The sequence below is a fragment of the Homo sapiens genome, chromosome 8 (assembly GCF_000001405.40).
Source record: "Homo sapiens chromosome 8, GRCh38.p14 Primary Assembly".
NCBI lineage: Eukaryota > Metazoa > Chordata > Mammalia > Primates > Hominidae > Homo > Homo sapiens.
The window spans coordinates 14188013-14205206 of record NC_000008.11 but is presented as its reverse complement, the minus strand read 5'-3'; the positions used below and the strand labels follow the sequence as shown (position 1 = coordinate 14205206).

General features: G+C 34.5%; 1 protein-coding gene across 4 annotated transcripts in view, besides 2 other annotated features; it reads left to right on the top strand.

Moving 5' to 3' along the window:
• SGCZ (sarcoglycan zeta) overlaps positions 1–17194 on the top strand; it is a 1153587-nt gene that overhangs the window by 1033225 nt on the left and 103168 nt on the right. The window lies entirely within an intron of this gene.
• Positions 194–363: an enhancer, noted in NCBI's record as "experimental_101891 CRE fragment used in MPRA reporter constructs". NCBI's record gives its function as "activates a minimal promoter by MPRAs in K562 erythroleukemia cells, with activity observed for both the introgressed and non-introgressed 8:14062438 variant alleles {active_cell/tissue: K562}" and the evidence as "EXISTENCE:reporter gene assay evidence [ECO:0000049][PMID:34662402]".
• Positions 11229–11398: an enhancer, noted in NCBI's record as "experimental_101878 CRE fragment used in MPRA reporter constructs". NCBI's record gives its function as "activates a minimal promoter by MPRAs in K562 erythroleukemia cells, with activity observed for the non-introgressed 8:14051403 variant allele {active_cell/tissue: K562}" and the evidence as "EXISTENCE:reporter gene assay evidence [ECO:0000049][PMID:34662402]".

Below are 17194 nucleotides of genomic sequence, written 5' to 3'. Positions count from 1 at the left end.
AGAGTGATTCTCTTTAAGAAGTGAAAAAAAAAAAATAAAGTCTAGGATACCACTTTTGTGTGTAGTCGATTAAAGGCTGATGCATGTATTTTGAGAAGTGGATTTATCTTAATTAAAGGGTTCTCCAGAGAGAAAACCAATAGTATAGATAGACTTGATGCATAGATAGATAATAAATAGATAGACAGACAAACAGGCGTATGGGTGAGAGGATATAGGTTCCTATTAATATGGAGGCTGAGAAGTCCCATTATGGGATCTCTGCAAGCTGGAGACCTGGAATTCCAGTAACAAGGCTCAGTCCAAGTCTGAAGGCCTCAGAACCAGGAAAGCCAATGACGTAACTATCAGATGGAGGCTGAATGCCTGAGAACCTGGTGAAGATAGCGTGAACTGGTGTAGGTCTCACAGTTGAAAGGCCAGGGACCCTGAAGTTCTGAGGTCCAAGGGTAGGAAAATAAGTGTGTCCCAGCTTCAGCATAAAAATAAAGGATCTGGTTTTCCTCTAACTTTTTGTTCTACCCAGCGCCGCTGATGATTGGATGGTGTTCACCCATATTGAGGGGAGGTTTTCTCTAGTCAATTCAAAGACTCATACACAATCTCCTCTGAAACACCCTAACAGACACACCCAGAAATAATGCTTTACCAGCTCTCAAGGTGTTCCTTCATCTAATCAAGTTGACACCTAAAATTAACCATCACAGACCAGATTTTTACCTTACGTGCTTCAAGGCAGGTCAACAATGGTTTTGGAAGACTTAGGAAGGACTCACATTCACCCATAGTAGACCTGAGCTGCTCAAATAATTTGCCTCTCAAATCAGGGAAAAGACAGAATGTCGCATTCCATGTTCTGGGTAATGCTGGTATTTGGTATAAAGGGGAGACATGGGTGTTAGCCAAAAGCAAGAAAAAAAAAAAAACATTCAGAGTGAAGTGAGAAGAACCCAAATAGCAAGATCCATCTCTAAGCAACAGATATGACACAAACAAATTACCCCCATCTATTTCTTTCGTTTTATGCCCCATTTTCCCAAACCACACTGTTGCTGGGGCAAAGGTCCAAAAATTTGCCGAAGACGGTCCGAAACCAATCCCAGATTCAGAGACTGAGTTATTTATCCTCCATCAGTATGGAAATGCCTGGCATTTCCAACATGCACCAGGCTGTCTCCCCTCTCCATATATTTATGAATATTATTCTTTCTTCTTGGAGCGCTCTTTCCCCCAACTCCTTTCCTAGATAATTCTTACAGGTCTCCCCTCTCCATATATTTATGAATATTATTCTTTCTTTTTGGAGCACTCTTTCCCCCAATTCCTTTCCTAGATAATTCTTACAGGTCTCTTACACTTTCATTCCATGTAACTCCTGTCTGATTTACATGCCCCTACTGTATGTTTCAATAGTGCCCTCTAATTCTCCCCATCAATACTAAGTGCATTCTGCTTTAATTATCTGATTCTTTCTCCATAGCCCTCATTAGTTAATAAGGTCCTTGACTATAAAGGCCATGTTTAATTTAGCAATGGATTGTGGTGCTCACCTCCAGTGACCTTCACCTCTATTCATCTTCATTCAAACACTTCCATTGTAATGACTCAGCCTTGTGATGACAGAAAATACTCAAACTCTGGCAAGAAAATTATATAAAAGATGAAATTTAGGAGCACATTAAATTGAATCCAGTGAAATAAAAATTTAAATACATATGAGTGGGAGAGATTATAAATCTTATATATTATTGGCACAAAAATCAAAAGGAAAAGAATTGTATTAGGTATTAAAAACATAAAAACATTCTATGTTAGCCAAGGTAAATAATTAGCTTATCTTTAGCTCCGATAAAATTTCTCATTTATGAACGTAGATAAGAAAAGATCTCCTACACTCTTCTCGTCTTAACAGCACTTACCAATTTGTTTAATATTCAAATAGCATCTATTTAATGTGTCTTTATAGATTGAAAGTTAAAATTCAAACACACCTAAATATATCTGTATTAGTCTGCTTTCGCACTGCTGATAAAAACATATCTGGGACTGGGCAATTTACAAAAGAAAGAGGTTTATTGGGCTTACAGTTCCACATGGCTGGGGAGGCCTCACAATCATGGTGGAAGGCGAGGAGAAGCAAGTCACATCTTACATGGATGGCAGCAGCCAAAGAGAGCTTGTACAGGGAAACTCCCATTTTTAAAACCATCGTATCTTCTGAGATTCATTTACTATCACGAGAACACCACAGGAAAGACCCGCCCCCATAATTCCATCACCTCCCGCCTGATTCCTCCCACAAGATGTGGGAATTGTCGGAGTTATAATTTAAGATGAGATTTGGGTGGAGACACAGCCAAACCATATCCATATCATCTACAAATATTAAGACTTTAGGTAAATGCACTTTTCTGCTATTTTAAAATGTGTCAGGAGAGATCTGTTTAGGAAGGAAGAAGATGACTTTGTAAACACCCACAAAAAAGAATTCAATTTAACTTCTATATTAATGTTAAAAATTACCAAGGGATCTTTAAATTTCATAAAATATCTTGAAAGGAGATCAATGGAAACATCTTAATCAAATATTTGCATTTATTCTCATACCAACCTAGCTTTAGAATAAAACTTACTGCATTGATCTGCCTTTTGTCAATGTAGGGTATTAAAAAAAATTATCCAAGTATGAATAGTTTTCTCATTTTTTTTTCCCTTGTGAAACCCAATATGAAATAGACAAGAGTTGGTACATTCGTTATCTATGGCTGCTGCAACAAATTACCACAAACTTAGTGTCTTACACCACCACAAAATTATTATGCAATTCTGAGAGTCAGAATCTAAATGGGTCTCACTGGGCTAAAATCAAGATGTCAGCAGGACTGTGTTCCACTCTAAGAATTGTGGAGGACAAACTTTTTTGCCCTTTCCAGTTTATAGAGGTTATCTTTACCCCTTGGCCCGTGACTGTCTTTCATCTTCAAAGTCAGCAATGGCTGGATGAGTCGTTTTGCATTTCATCACTCTAACACTGACTCTTCTTTAGCCTCCCTCTTCAAATCCTAAGGACTCTGTAATGACATTGGGATTATCCAGCATATTCTCCCTATTTTAAGGTCAGGCGGTGAGCAACCTTAATTCTATCTGCAACCATTGTAGCAGAACATAATCCCAAATGCTGAAGATTAGGAGGTGGGGCGTTCTGAGGGGTTTCATTATTCTGCATATTATGGTTTGGTTCATTAAAATTTAAGTCTTACATATATTTTCATATTTTAAAAAGTTACAAAGATAGTACACCTTTTGCAAAAGATAGACCTAACAGTTTTGTTGTTATTGTTGTTGTTTTTTAAAGATCTCACTAGTGATACTTCTGATAATCTTGAAATTGTCATTTCTATAAACACATTTTTACAAGAGTCTGTGAAGGTATAATTTGTGTAGTTAAATTTTCCTACTTCAGTATAGAGCTTTGTGAGCTTTGACAGGTGCATATAGTCAAATAACTACAACCACAATCAAGAGGTATCAAACAAATACATTATGCCCCTTGGTAGTCAAACCTAGCATCCACTCCCCTGACACTTCTCATCAATTTCTAGATCTACGGTTTTATCTGTTCTGAAATACGTAAATCTGTTCTGAAATACATAAATACAATCACACAATATGTAGCCTTTGAGTGTGGTTTCTTTCACTCAGCACAATGGATTTGAATTTATTCATATTGTTGCAGGAATCAACAATTTTGTTCCTTTTTATTACTAAGGAGTATTCTGTTGCATGGATGTACCACAGTTTCTCTATCCATTTGAAAGTTAAAGGACATTTAGATATTTTTCAGTCTTTTTTGGTGATTCTTGATATAAAGCCACTAGAAGCTTATGCATACAGGCTTTTTTTGTGAACATTAGTTTTCATTTGATGACATAAATACCTGGGGAGGGATAGCAACGTTGTATGATAAGTGTAGGTTTATTCATATTAGAACATTTCAAAATGTTATTCAGAGTGCTAATATAATTTTGTATTTCTACCTGCCTGTATGAGCATTTCGCTTCATTCTATATCCAAAGCAAAACTTGCTATTTCACCATTTAAACATTTTTGTCCAATGTGTATTTAATAGTTTTAATTGTCATTTTCCTAATTACTAGCTATATTGAGCATCTTTTTGTGTTTTTGTTTTCCATCTGCATACCTTCTTTTAATGCAATATCTGTTTGCATGTTTTATGGATTTTATTTGTGGGTTGTTTTATAATTATTCAATTTTGAAAGCTCTGTATATGCTTTGAGGCCAAGTTTATCAGATATGTAATTCTGCAAATATTTTCTCCTGCTCTGTGACGTATCTTCATTCCTTTAACAGTCTGTTTTAAAGAGCAGCTTTTAAATTTGAGGAACTTTAATTCATTCATTTTAGAATGCATCATACTTTGGGTGCCATAGTTAATAAGATCATTGACTCACTCAAGGTCACAAAGACTTTATTCTATGCTCTACTCTGAGGCTTCTAGTTTATAATCTATTTTGACTTATTTTTTCTATATATTCCAGCATGTTTTGTTGGAAAAACAAAACAAAACAAACAAACAAAAAAACACCTCTTTTAAATTGCGTCAGAATCTGTGATCAGAAAATCATTTATTTTATATGTTCAGGTCTCATACTGGGCTCTCTACCTTATCCTATTGGTCGATTGGTCAGTCCTTTTAAAAATACTGCACTGTACATGATTCTTTATAGTGAGCCATGAAATTGGTTAGAGTGAGTTGTCCAATGTTCTTCTTTATAAAAATAATTTTGGCTATTTTAGATTATTCAATTTTCCACTAACAAATTTAGATTCATCTTTCAATCTCTACAAAAATTTATGTTGGGATTTTTATTGAGAATGCATGGACTATACCTGTTTAGGGAAAATCGATTATCTTAACAATATTGAGTCTTTTAATCCATGAACACAGTCTATCCCACCATTTATTTAGATCTTCTTTGGTTGTGTTCTTTAGTAATTTGAAGCTTTCAGCATACAGAATTTGTATGTATTTAGTTTCATTTAAACTGAAGTAATTATGGTAGTGCCCATTATCCACAGGGGATATATTCCAACACTGCCAGGAGATGTCAGAAACCATGGATACTACCGGACCCAATTGCTATCAATAAGAATACGTTTCTGTTTACGTCGTCAACCCCAAAATTTAATGTCTTTTTCATCTTAATTGAGCACTTATCACACACTATGGCTGTAACTTTTGTAGTTTGAGTTACAACAGCAAAACTAGTATCAAATTTTATTTTTCCTTCTTTAGAATTGTATGGATAGAAGATTTGTTCTTAAGATCTTAGATCTTCAAAATCCATTTTTTTCATTGTCAGTCGTGAACTTTCACATTTTTTCTTTAAAAAGGAAATGCGTTTATTTCTTCATTCACTTAACATTGTTAGAATATATCGGGGGAAATTCACTCCTGATATTTCACGTAGGTTCTTTTCTATTTTCCCTAAGCTTTGGCCAGTCTGAGAAATAAAGGGACAGAGTACAAAAGAGTGAAATTTTAAAGCTGCGTGTCCGGGGGAGACATCACACGTCAGCAGGTTCCGTGATGCCCCCCGAGCCGTAAAACCAGCAAGTTTTTATTAGTGATTTTAAAAAGGGGAGGGAGTGTACAAATAGGGTGTGGGTCACAGAGATCACATGCTTCACAAGGTAATAAAATATCACAAGGCAAATGGAGGCAGGGCGAGATCACAGGACCAAAGGACCAGGGCGAAATTAAAATTACTAATGAAGTTTCGGGCATGCATTGTCATTGATAACATCTTATCAGGAGACAGAATTTGAGAGCAGACAACCAGTCTGACCAAAATTTATTAGGCAGGAATTTCCTTGTCCTAATAAGCTTGGGAGTGCTATGGGAGACAGGGGCTTATTTCATCTGTCCGCTATGACAGCCATCGCCAAAGCAGCCATTTCAGAGTCCTCCCCTTAGGGACACATTCTCTTTCTCAGGGATGTTCCTTGCTGAGAAAAAGAATTCAGCAGTATTTCTCCCATTTGCTTTTGAAAGAAGAGAAATATGGCTCTGTTCCGCCTGGCCCACAGGCAGCCAGAGTTTAAGGTTATCTCCCTTGTTCCCTGAACATTGCTGTTATCCTTTTCTTAAGGTGCCCAGATTTGATATTGTTCAAACACACATGCTCTACAAACAATTTGTGCAGTTAACACAATCATCACAGGGTCCTGAGGCGACATACATCCTCAGCTTACGAAGATGACAGGATTAAGAGATTAAAGTAAAGACAGCCATAGGAAATCACAAGAGTATTGATTGGGGAAGTGATAAGTGTCCATTAAATCTTCACAATGTATGTTCAGAGATTGCAGTAAAGACAGGCATAAGAAATTTTAAAAGTATTAATTTGGGGAACTAATAAACATCCATAAAATCATCACAATTTATGTTCTTCTGCCATGGCTTCAGCTGGTCCCTCCGTTTGTGGTCCCTGACTTCACGCAACAGAATATTAGCAGCACAATTTTATAACAACTAGGTTCACTAAGATTTAAAAAGATCAGTTCTTTTTTTCCTCTTTTTTTTCAACTTTTATTTTAGATTCTGGTGTACATGTGCAATTTGTTTCTGAGGTATATTACATGATACTGGGGTTTGTACTACAACTGAATGGATCATTAAAGAAGTTTGCATACTATTCAATAGGTAGTTTTACAACCCTTGGCTCTCTCCTTTCTTCCCTCTTATATTCCCTAATGTCCATTGTTCCTTTTTTGACTTAAAATAAGCACTTTAACACCTCTCTTTGGCAGAACCAAACTGCCAGCTTTGCTAATCTTGTGCTTTGGGTCTATCATGGAGTATAATAAGGGTTACTTGGACACAATCACTATAATACCATGACAGTTAATCTAATAACTGAAAAACTTGCAAATGACTACAGAGTGATAGCAGAGACAGCATGGAGATGCTAGACAAACGGCTGACTGATTCATGTCCCAGGTGGGACAGAATGAGATGGCATATGATTTCATCATGCTACTCAGAACAGCATGCAGTTTAAAACTTATGAATTGTTTCTTTCTGGAATTTTCCATTTAATAACCACAGTTAAGTGAGGACTGCTATAATGTATTATTGTGCTATAAAAATATTAAGTTTAATTCCTAATAATCCCTTTCCAGTGTAAAGATACACAATTAATTTTTGGTATATTGAGCTTGTTTCCTGCAAACTTGCTAAAATAACATTCTTTTAGTAACTTTATATATATTTTTTAATTTTATATTTAGAGAATCAGGTCATCTGAGAATAGAAATTGTTTAAGTTTTTTCCAGACTCTGTGTTATTCATTTATTTTTCTTGGTTGTATTATTCTGGCTAAGACCTCTAGTGTGATGCAAAATAAAGTGGTGAATGACATTTTTGCTTTTTAAACTGAAACTTAGGGGAAAAGCACTTAGGTTTTGAATATTAAATATGATGTTAGATTTAGGATTTCTGTAAATGCCCTTTATAAGGTAGAGGAAATTTCTTTTCATTCCCAATTTATTAAGAAGATTTTATAATAAATGTAATTTGAATTTTGACAGAAGCTTTTTCTCTAGGTACTAAGATAATTATTTGTTTTTTTTTAATTTGATCTGGCATAATTTAATGAACTATATTGGTAGATTTTTCAAAGGCTGAACATACCAGCCTTGCATTCTTGTGATAAACAACATTATCTATGATGTATTATCATTTTTATTAATATTGCTTTATTTGATTTGTTCATAATTATGATTATCCAATACATTGAAGACTTGGGATGTTCTTCTTTCATGAAGGATATTGTTCTACCTTCTTGTTGTAGCTGTGTAATTTTGGTATCAGAGTAACATTCGTGTCACAATAAGTTGTGAAGTGTTCCCTTCATTTCTATATTCAGGAACATTTAGTTGAGAATTAGTATTATTTTTTGCTTAAATATTTAGTAGAATTAGTTATTATGCCATTATTATGCCAAAGAAAGCCATCCGGACCTTCACTTTCCTTAGGAAACTTTATTTTATAACAACTGTATTGCTATTTAATTTACATGATATTAAACATGTTCATTTTAAATGTACATTTTAATGATTTTTAGCAAATTTACAGTTGTGCAACCATTACCACAATCCAATTTTGAATCATTTCTGTTACCTTTGAAATGTACTTATTGTCCATTTGCAGTCATTTTCCTGTCCTATATGCCTTTCCGTCATCCATGAATTTATTTTCTCTATATATAAATATGGCATTTCTGGATATTTGCTTTAAATTAGAATTTATTTGATATTGAAGTATTCAATTTTGTTTTCATTTTACTTGCTAGCATGGCAAATATTTTTCCATTCTTTTAATTTTTAACTTGTATAGTTTTGGCGGCTGGTTTCTTTCACGTAGCATGCTTCTAAGGTGCATCAATGTTGCAGCATATGCCATTAGTCTATTACTTTTACTTCTGAATATATTCCATTGCATACATTTACTACCTGTTGTTTATTCATTTACCAGTCGATGAACATATAGATCATTTTCAGATTGCAGTTATTAAGAATAATGCCATTAAACACCAATGTACAAATTAGTGTATATACGTAGGTTTTTATTTCTCTTGCATTGATAGCTAGCAGTGAAATCGCTGTTTCATGTAGTCAATTTGTGTTTATTTAAAACATAACCAATTTCTTTTTCACAGTGGCTGAAAAATTTTGCATTTCAAGTAACTCCACAAATTTTCCACCACTTGTTATTGTCTCTCTTTCTGTCTTTCAATTAATGAGGCAGGAGAATAACTTGAACCCAGGAGGCGGAAGTTGCTGTGACAGGAGATCACACCATTGCACTCCAGCCTGGGCAACAAGAGCGAAACTCCGTCTTTAAAAAAAAAAAAAAATTACTCTAATTAATTTAGTATTTTATTTTATCTTCTTATTGATTTAGTTGCTTCATTATTTTACTGATTGCTTTAATGTTCATAATATAAATCTATAGCTTATCTATGTCCATCTTCAAGTGATATTATACCATTTCAATAGAACCCTAGACTGGTGTACATCCATTTCTCCTCTCCTGAATTTTGGATACTGTAGAGATACAGTAGCCACAAAACATTATTATTTTTGTTTAAACTGTCATTTTTAAATAGATTAAATAATAAGAAAATTGTGTTTACTCAGGTGGTCACTACCCTTTATTTCTCTGTATAGATTCATATTTCCATCTGATGTCATTTGCATTCTCCCTGAAAAACTTCCTTTAACATTCCCGATAGTGCAGGTTGCTAGAGATGATTTATTCAGTAATTCTACATCTATAATTGTCTTTTTCACTTACTTTGATGGATATTTTTATTATGTGTAGAATTGGGAGTCATCCATTGTTTTTGTTATTGTTTTGGCATTTTAAAGATATTGCTCTCCTATGTCATCACTTGCATTTTTTCCAGTATTAATCAGCTGCCTTCCTTATCTTTGTTACTCTATGTACAAAAGTGTCTTTTATTTATGACTGCTGTTAAAATTTTGACTCCATCACTGATTTTCAGCATTTTGATTGTGTTTTTATTTGGCATAGTCCTCTTTGTATTTTTGTGCTGAGGATTTGTTGAGATGTGGTTTTGTGATTTTCATCAAACTTAGAAAACTTTATCCCATCATTTCTCCAATTATTTTTTTCTGTCTTCTGATCCCCTTTTGTTCTTCCTCAGAGACTCCAAATTCTAAGTACGTGAACTCAGCTGAAGTTGTTTCAAAAATCACTGAATTCTCATTTTTTTATTCTAATTTTTTCTTTATTGTTATGGACTGAGTTCACTTATATTTTCAGCTGTAATGTCTAATCTGCTGTCAACCCTTTTCAGCGTATTCTCCGTCTCAATGTAGTTTTTCATCCTACTGCAGCTTGATTTGGGTCTTTTTAATACATGTCCCTGACTTTTCTCCAGACAGCAGACAGTTATAATACATGTTTTTAATGTCCATTTATGCATGTTTGAACACTTGTGTAAATACTGTCAATTCTGGGTCACTTTTAATTGGCTAAAATCCTCGTTATGGTTAATGTTTTTCTGCTCCTGTTAATGCCTAGTAATCTTTCAATATTTGATGTACATTTTACTTTTTGGTGCTAGGTATATTAGGGTTTCTATAAATATTCTTAAACTTATTTCTGGTTGCAATTAAGTTAGTTGAACAGATTAACCCTCTGAATTCTGCACGTGAGGTTTCTTTGGCAGATCATAGCATTGCTAGGTGTAAAGCTAATCATTCCTCATTATGAATTATGATTCAAGAGTTACAATACCAGTGCCCCATGGCCTATGAGCTTTTGCTTTGTTCAAATCTAGTAGGCACTATTCACAGCTCTCTTAAAATGGTAATCTGCAGTAATCACATGGCTTATATAATTTGTTTCTGCCTCTTTTGTATTATTGTGCTGCATTTACTGATGTTCAATGTCTTGAAAACCAGAATTATATATTTTGTATTTTGTTCCTGTTTCAGATGAGAAAGTAACTTGGATCCCATAACTCTATATTGGCCAGAAGCAGAAAAATGTATTTATTATTTTTATTATTATGTTATTATTCCTGGTTTACTATTTTATTATTCCTAGCCTTGCCAACATCCTTCTTTAACCTCAGAGTCCCAAACATAAATGAATACTCAAGCAAAGTATGACCACAATGAGAGAAGTTCTCTCTCAGCCTCTGTTCTTTATATAGTACTCTTATTAATTAAACTAAGATTACATTAGACTTGTATTAGTAATATCACAGTATTAACTGAAGTTTATATCTCTTCACTAGCTGGGGTGACTTACTCTGGTCTCGTTTTCAATCAGACATCAAAAAATACCCAGAATAAACTACAGTATTCCAAACATTCATGTTTTGATCAATCCAGAGTTCAGCATAATCATTTTCTTGCTTACCACTATTGCATTTCTATCTATACAGTCTAAGATAATATTTACCTTTTAAAGGCATCTAACATAGTTGTCTAACAAACAAAAATTATTTATAAATGTGGATAAATCTCTTACGTATTATATTGTTGAGTAGTTTTTCACAGAATGTTTCTTTATTTCCATGAGAAATATATGTTATTTGTTTCAATATATATTTAAAAAAAACTATTGTCCCATCATGCTGACTTGTCAAGATAATTTGAAATTCTAGTTATGTTATGTAGCTATCCCTCCAGTTTCATTGTCAGGTGAAAATTTAATTAACATAGTATATTAATCAAAATTAATATTATATATTAATCAAAATGACTCCTAAAACATGTTCAAGGTAGGAGTTTCTTTATTAAACCAAAAGCGTTTACAACATATCAGAATAATTTTATGCAAATACAAAACAAATACATGTTGGACTGGACAAGGGTGACAAGCTAGACATTCAGACAAGTTAGATAAGTTTGTTGTCACTGAAGTTGTTTCTCAATATTATCTTTATGCTATTTCAGAATATACTCAGCTATTGTTAGACATAAACTTGTGTAACAAAGAACAGTGGAAAGTTTTCATGGCCACATTTACATTTAGAATACAATTTTAATGTGCAAAATTAAATTATTGTAGAGAGCAGCCTGAAATCATTTAATAGAACATGAAATAATCAGTGCTGTATTTCTTGAGATTATACTTCACATATTATATGTTTATGATGGGTGTATATGTCCGTGTATATTGAAAGGTATGATTAAACCATTTTAATGTTGCCACAGTTACATACATACTCAGATAGCATTATTATATATTCTCTCACTCATTCAACTGTTACATGAAAAACAATGGTCAAACATTGTAAAAAAAATAGCATGCTGCATTTTTTATAGGAAAGAGGGAGATGATGATTTGTGCTTGCCTCTGCTAAAAATGAAAAAAATATATCACAAATAACAAAATTATTCCATGTAGTGGAAAAGGTAGACATATACATGGCAGGAGTAAAATGGATGTTTCTGTAGTGTAGCTTATGATTTTAAATTTCACATCATATGAATCCATTACTTTGTCAAAAAAGAAAACTTGATTTAAGAATAATAATATAGAAAAAAGATTTTGACAGCCTATAAGATACAGTCTTTCATAGACACATCTTTGGGAAAAGTATCCCATTCTGCCAATATAACCATAATTTGTATATTTAGAAAAGCTTTGTCAGCATATATGTAACTGTGGCAACTTTAAAAAGATTTAATCATACCTTTGAATATACACGGACATGTACACCAATCATAAACATATAATGTATAAAGTATAGTCTCAAGAAATACTGCACTGATTATTTCATGTTCTATTACATTATTTCAGGCTGGTCTCCATAATAATTTAATTTTGCAAATGAAAATTGTATTCTAAATGTAAACGTGGCCATGAAAACTTTCCATTGTTTTTGTTACAGAAGTTTATGTCTAACAATAGCTTAATAATATATTCTGAAATAGCATAAATATAATATTGAGAAACTACTTCAATGACAACAATTTCATTCTTATCTAATTAATGAAGATGAAGGCTGAGAAGAAAAGTAATGTAGAATCAGGTAAAATAGCTAATAATAAGCATATTCTTGGATAGAACTCTTGAATAAAAACTCAAATATCATATGCAATGTATTCAGAGTTATTGTATGGGTAAGTTTTATAAAATAATTCTGGGAGATAACAAAGACTTTCAGTATCTTAATGGGATATTGCTTTTCCAAATTATACATGAGAAAACACTAGAGATCTAGTTATAAAAAATAAAAAGCGTGTAGCAATATGAAAATTATGTGTTACAAAGAAGAAAATTCAGGTTAGATAAGAATATTTGATGGTAGTTGTCCAGCTGACCACTATTAACATTAAATACAGCAGTATTCTTTACTACCTTGGGATATATCTTTATTTCAAATGCAAAAATTTGGTAAGCATAATAATTGCTAAATAAAAAGATAATACAATTACCTATTTTCTGTTTTTACTGTAAAGCACTACCCATGTGAAAGTTTATGAAGAAATATTTTCACTTGACCAGTATTTTTTTAGGAAGTACCACTTTATATATATGTGCTTTGATTTTAAATACAATTGATTAAATGACATTTTTCTACAGGTCATAAGAATTTTGTATTACCTCCTATTAATAGTATGTTTATACAAAGTGTGACCAAAGGGTTATTAAGAAATATCTTCTTTGAGCTTTCCTATACTTTATTTACAGGTAAAAGGATCAGTATTTTACTTTTTTTTTAGATAAAATTTCAGTATTATGACTAGGTTGAGGAATCCTACAGGATATGGAGTCCAGTCATTACTAGCTAAAAGAATCATAGAAAGAAGCACATGAACTTTGACTCTGGGCTTCTTCGAAGTCTGAAATATAATCAAGATTAATTTCCAATATAAAAACATTTGTATGATGTTTCACATACCCTTAGTTTCTCTCTTCTCTTTACGATTTTTACCATTCTCTTTTAGTGATACAATCTCAAGTTCTAGATGCACATATAACCAACTGGCCAGCTCAGGGTTACACATTTCCCTTGCAGCCAGGTGTGTTTGAGTTTTACACAGTGAGATGTAAGTTGAGGTGTTTTGTACATTTCCAAATGATACATACCAAAGAATAAAATTAGAGCCTTATATCACACCGTACACAAAAATCAACTCCAAATGGATTAAAGATCTATACCTAAGACCCAAATCATGCAATTCCTAGAAGAAAACATAAGGGGAAAAACTCTTTGACATTAACCTTGGCAGTGATTTTTTGGATAGTGTCATATGGCGCAGGCAACAGAAGCAAAAATAAGTGAGGTTGTATCAAACTAAAAACTTTCAACACAGCAAAGGAAATAATCAACAAAATGAAAAGGCAGCATATGGATTAAAGGATTATATATTTGGACTATGTAACTGATAAAGGTCAATATTCAAAATATATAACACAGCTCAATAGCAAGAAAAAAAATGAATAACCCAATTTAAAAATGGGCAAAGAACCTTAACAGACATCTTTCCAAAGACATAAAAATGACTCATACATATATGAAAAGGTATTCAATATCAGTAAAGAGAGAAATGCAAATCAAAACCACCATAATTTATCACTTCATACCTGTCAGGATGGCTAATATCAAAAAGACGAGTCATTACAGGTGTTGACGAGGATGTGACGAAAAGGGAATCCTTGTACACTTTTGGTGGGAATGTAGATTGATGTAACCAGTGTGGAACAAGTAAGGATATTCTTAAATAAATTAGCCGGGTGTGGTGGCTCATGCCTGTAATCCCAGCACTTTGGGAGTCCGAGGCGGGTGGATCACAAGGTCAGGAGATTGAGACCATCCTGGCTAACACAGTGAAACGCCGTCTCTACTAAAAATATAAAAAATTAGCCGGGCGTGGTGGAGGGCACCTGTAGTCCCAGCTACTTGGGAGGCTGAGGCAGGAGAATGGTGTGAACCTGGGAGGTGGAGGTTGTAGTGAGCCGAGATCGCGTCACTGCACTCCAGCCTGGGCGACAGAGCGAGACTCCATCTCAAAAAAACAAAAAAAGAAATTAAGAGAAGATTTATATGTCATCCAACAATCCCTCTTCTGTGTACATATCCAAAGGAAATTAATTCTCCACCTCATAAAGATATCTGCACTTGCATGTCCATTGCACCAGTATTCACTATTGAATTGTGATATTAAAACATTGGAAGTGTCTGTTGATAGACGTATCAATAATGAAAGTGTGATATATATATATCACACTTTATTGATATATATATATACACACACACACACATACATACATACATACATAATGGGATATTATTCAGCCTTAAAAAAGTAGATTCCGCTGGCGGGGTGCTGTGGCTCACGCCTGTAATCCTGGCACTTTGGGAGGCCGAGGTGGGCGGATCACAAGGTCAGGAGTTCGAGACCATCCTGGCTAACACGGTGAAACCCCGTCTCTACTAAAAATACAAAGAATTAGCCGGGCGTGGTGGCGGGCGCCTGTAGTCCCAGCTACTCAGGAGGCTGAGGCAGGAGAATGGCGTGAACCCCAGAGGCGGAGCTTGCAGCGAGTCAAGATGGCGCCACTGCACTCCAGCCTGGGTGACAGAGCAAGAGTCCGTCTCAAAAAAAAAAAAAAAAGAAAGAAAGAAAGAAAAAGTAGATTCTCCCATTTCTGACAACATGGATGAACCTAAAGGACATTATGCTAAATGGAAGAAGCTTATTAAATAAACAAATTTTCTATCAGTAGTTATTGAACTTCTCTTACAGGTTAGAAACATTTTAATCACTGAAGATGCAGAGATGAGCAAGACAGATACAAATCCTGGAAGTAATGAAGCATGTATTTTAGTGAGGTATTCAAAAATAGCCAAGCAAACAAAAGTGATAAGACAAAGCAGGTTAAAGTGGAAAAAAGTGATGGGAGGAATGGGATTGTTTCAGATATCATGGTCAGGTAAGGCCACCAACAATGTAAAGGACATAGCAAGTTTCTCTAGAGAGGACACAGGAAGAAGACAGTGGTCAGGGCTGAGCTCTCTGAGCAGACGGCTCATTATGAAAAGCTAAATAAAACAATGAGCAAAGCACACGAAGATCCGGCTGAGAACATGTCAGGGTGAAGGATCAGAAAGTGTAAAAGCCTGTGTGTGTAGCAAAGTCATTGTGTTTAAGAAATGGCAAAAGGATTATTGGGAATAAAGCAGAGATTGAGATGAGTACTGAAAGAGAAGCAAGAACCAGAGAGGTCTTCCAGACCGTGTTGAAAAGGGAGAATGTGTTCTGAGTAATATAAGGAGCTGTTGAAGGGATTTGAAACGAAAAGGCTTACAGTTTGATTTTCATTTAAAAATATATGACTCTGGCTTCTGTGTGAAGAAGATATATTGGGAAGTAAAGCAACAAGATGGAAAGCAGAGTTACCCACTAAGATTGGCGTTTCAGCAGCCCAGATTATAGATGATAGTGGTTTTGACAAAGAAGACACAAGAGGGGCCAGGTGCAGTGGCTCACGCCTGTAATCCCAGCACGTTGGGAGGCTGAGACGGGTGGATGGCCTGAGGTCAGGAGTTCAAGACCAGCCTTGCCAACATAGTAAAACCCCATCTCTACTAAAAATACAAAAAAAAAAAGCTGGGCGTGGTGGCAGGTGCCTGTAATCGCAGCTACTCAGGAGGCTGAGGCAGAAGAATTGCTTGAACCCGGGTGATGGAGGTTGCTCGAACCCGGGTGATGGAGGTTGCAATGAGACGAGAATGTGCCATTGCACTCCAGCCTGGGCAACAAGAGCGAAACTCCATCTCAAAAAACAAACAAACAAAAAAAAACAAAGAAACAAACAAACAAAAAAAAAACAAGAAATCTGGAAAAAGTGGGATTATTATTTTGGATATGTGTTGAAGGATGAATCAATGAAACTTGCTAGAAGAGTTTTAACTGCTTTATTGGAATATAATTCACATATCATACAATTCATCCATTTAAATGTACAATGCAGTGGTTTTTAATATATTAACAGAATTGTGCCACCACAGTCAATTTCAGAATTTTTCCATTATCCCCAGAAGAAACTCTGAACCCTTTCGCTCTCAGCACCGACAGACCTGTCCCACCCCTCTAGGCAATTACTACCCTACTTTCTGCATTCAAAGATTTTTATATTCTGAGCATTTAATATAAATATAACCATATAAAATGTAGTCTTCTGTGACTGGGTTTTTTCACCAAACATAATGTTTTCAGGGTTTACTAATGTTGCAGTACGTATCACTGCTCCATTCCTTTCTAAGGCCAAATAAAACTTTACTGTACGGATCCATTTGCCTTTTAAATCACACAAAGGAAGAAAAGAGAAGAAATATGCATGTATTCTGTTTCTGATGCTGGTATAACTCTCTTTACTAGGTTCTTTGTGTAAGTTTGAATTACTTTCAGAATGTACTTGCTTTCTGCCTGAAGAATTTCCTTTCACTATTTCTTATAACATAGGTCTGCTAGAAACACATTTGCTCAATCTTTATCTGGGAATATCTTTATCTTGCCTTCATTTTTAAAAGATAGTTTGCTGCCTATAGAACTCTTGGTTGACTTTTTTTTTAAATCTGAACACTTTGAATATGCTGTCCTACTACTTCCTCTC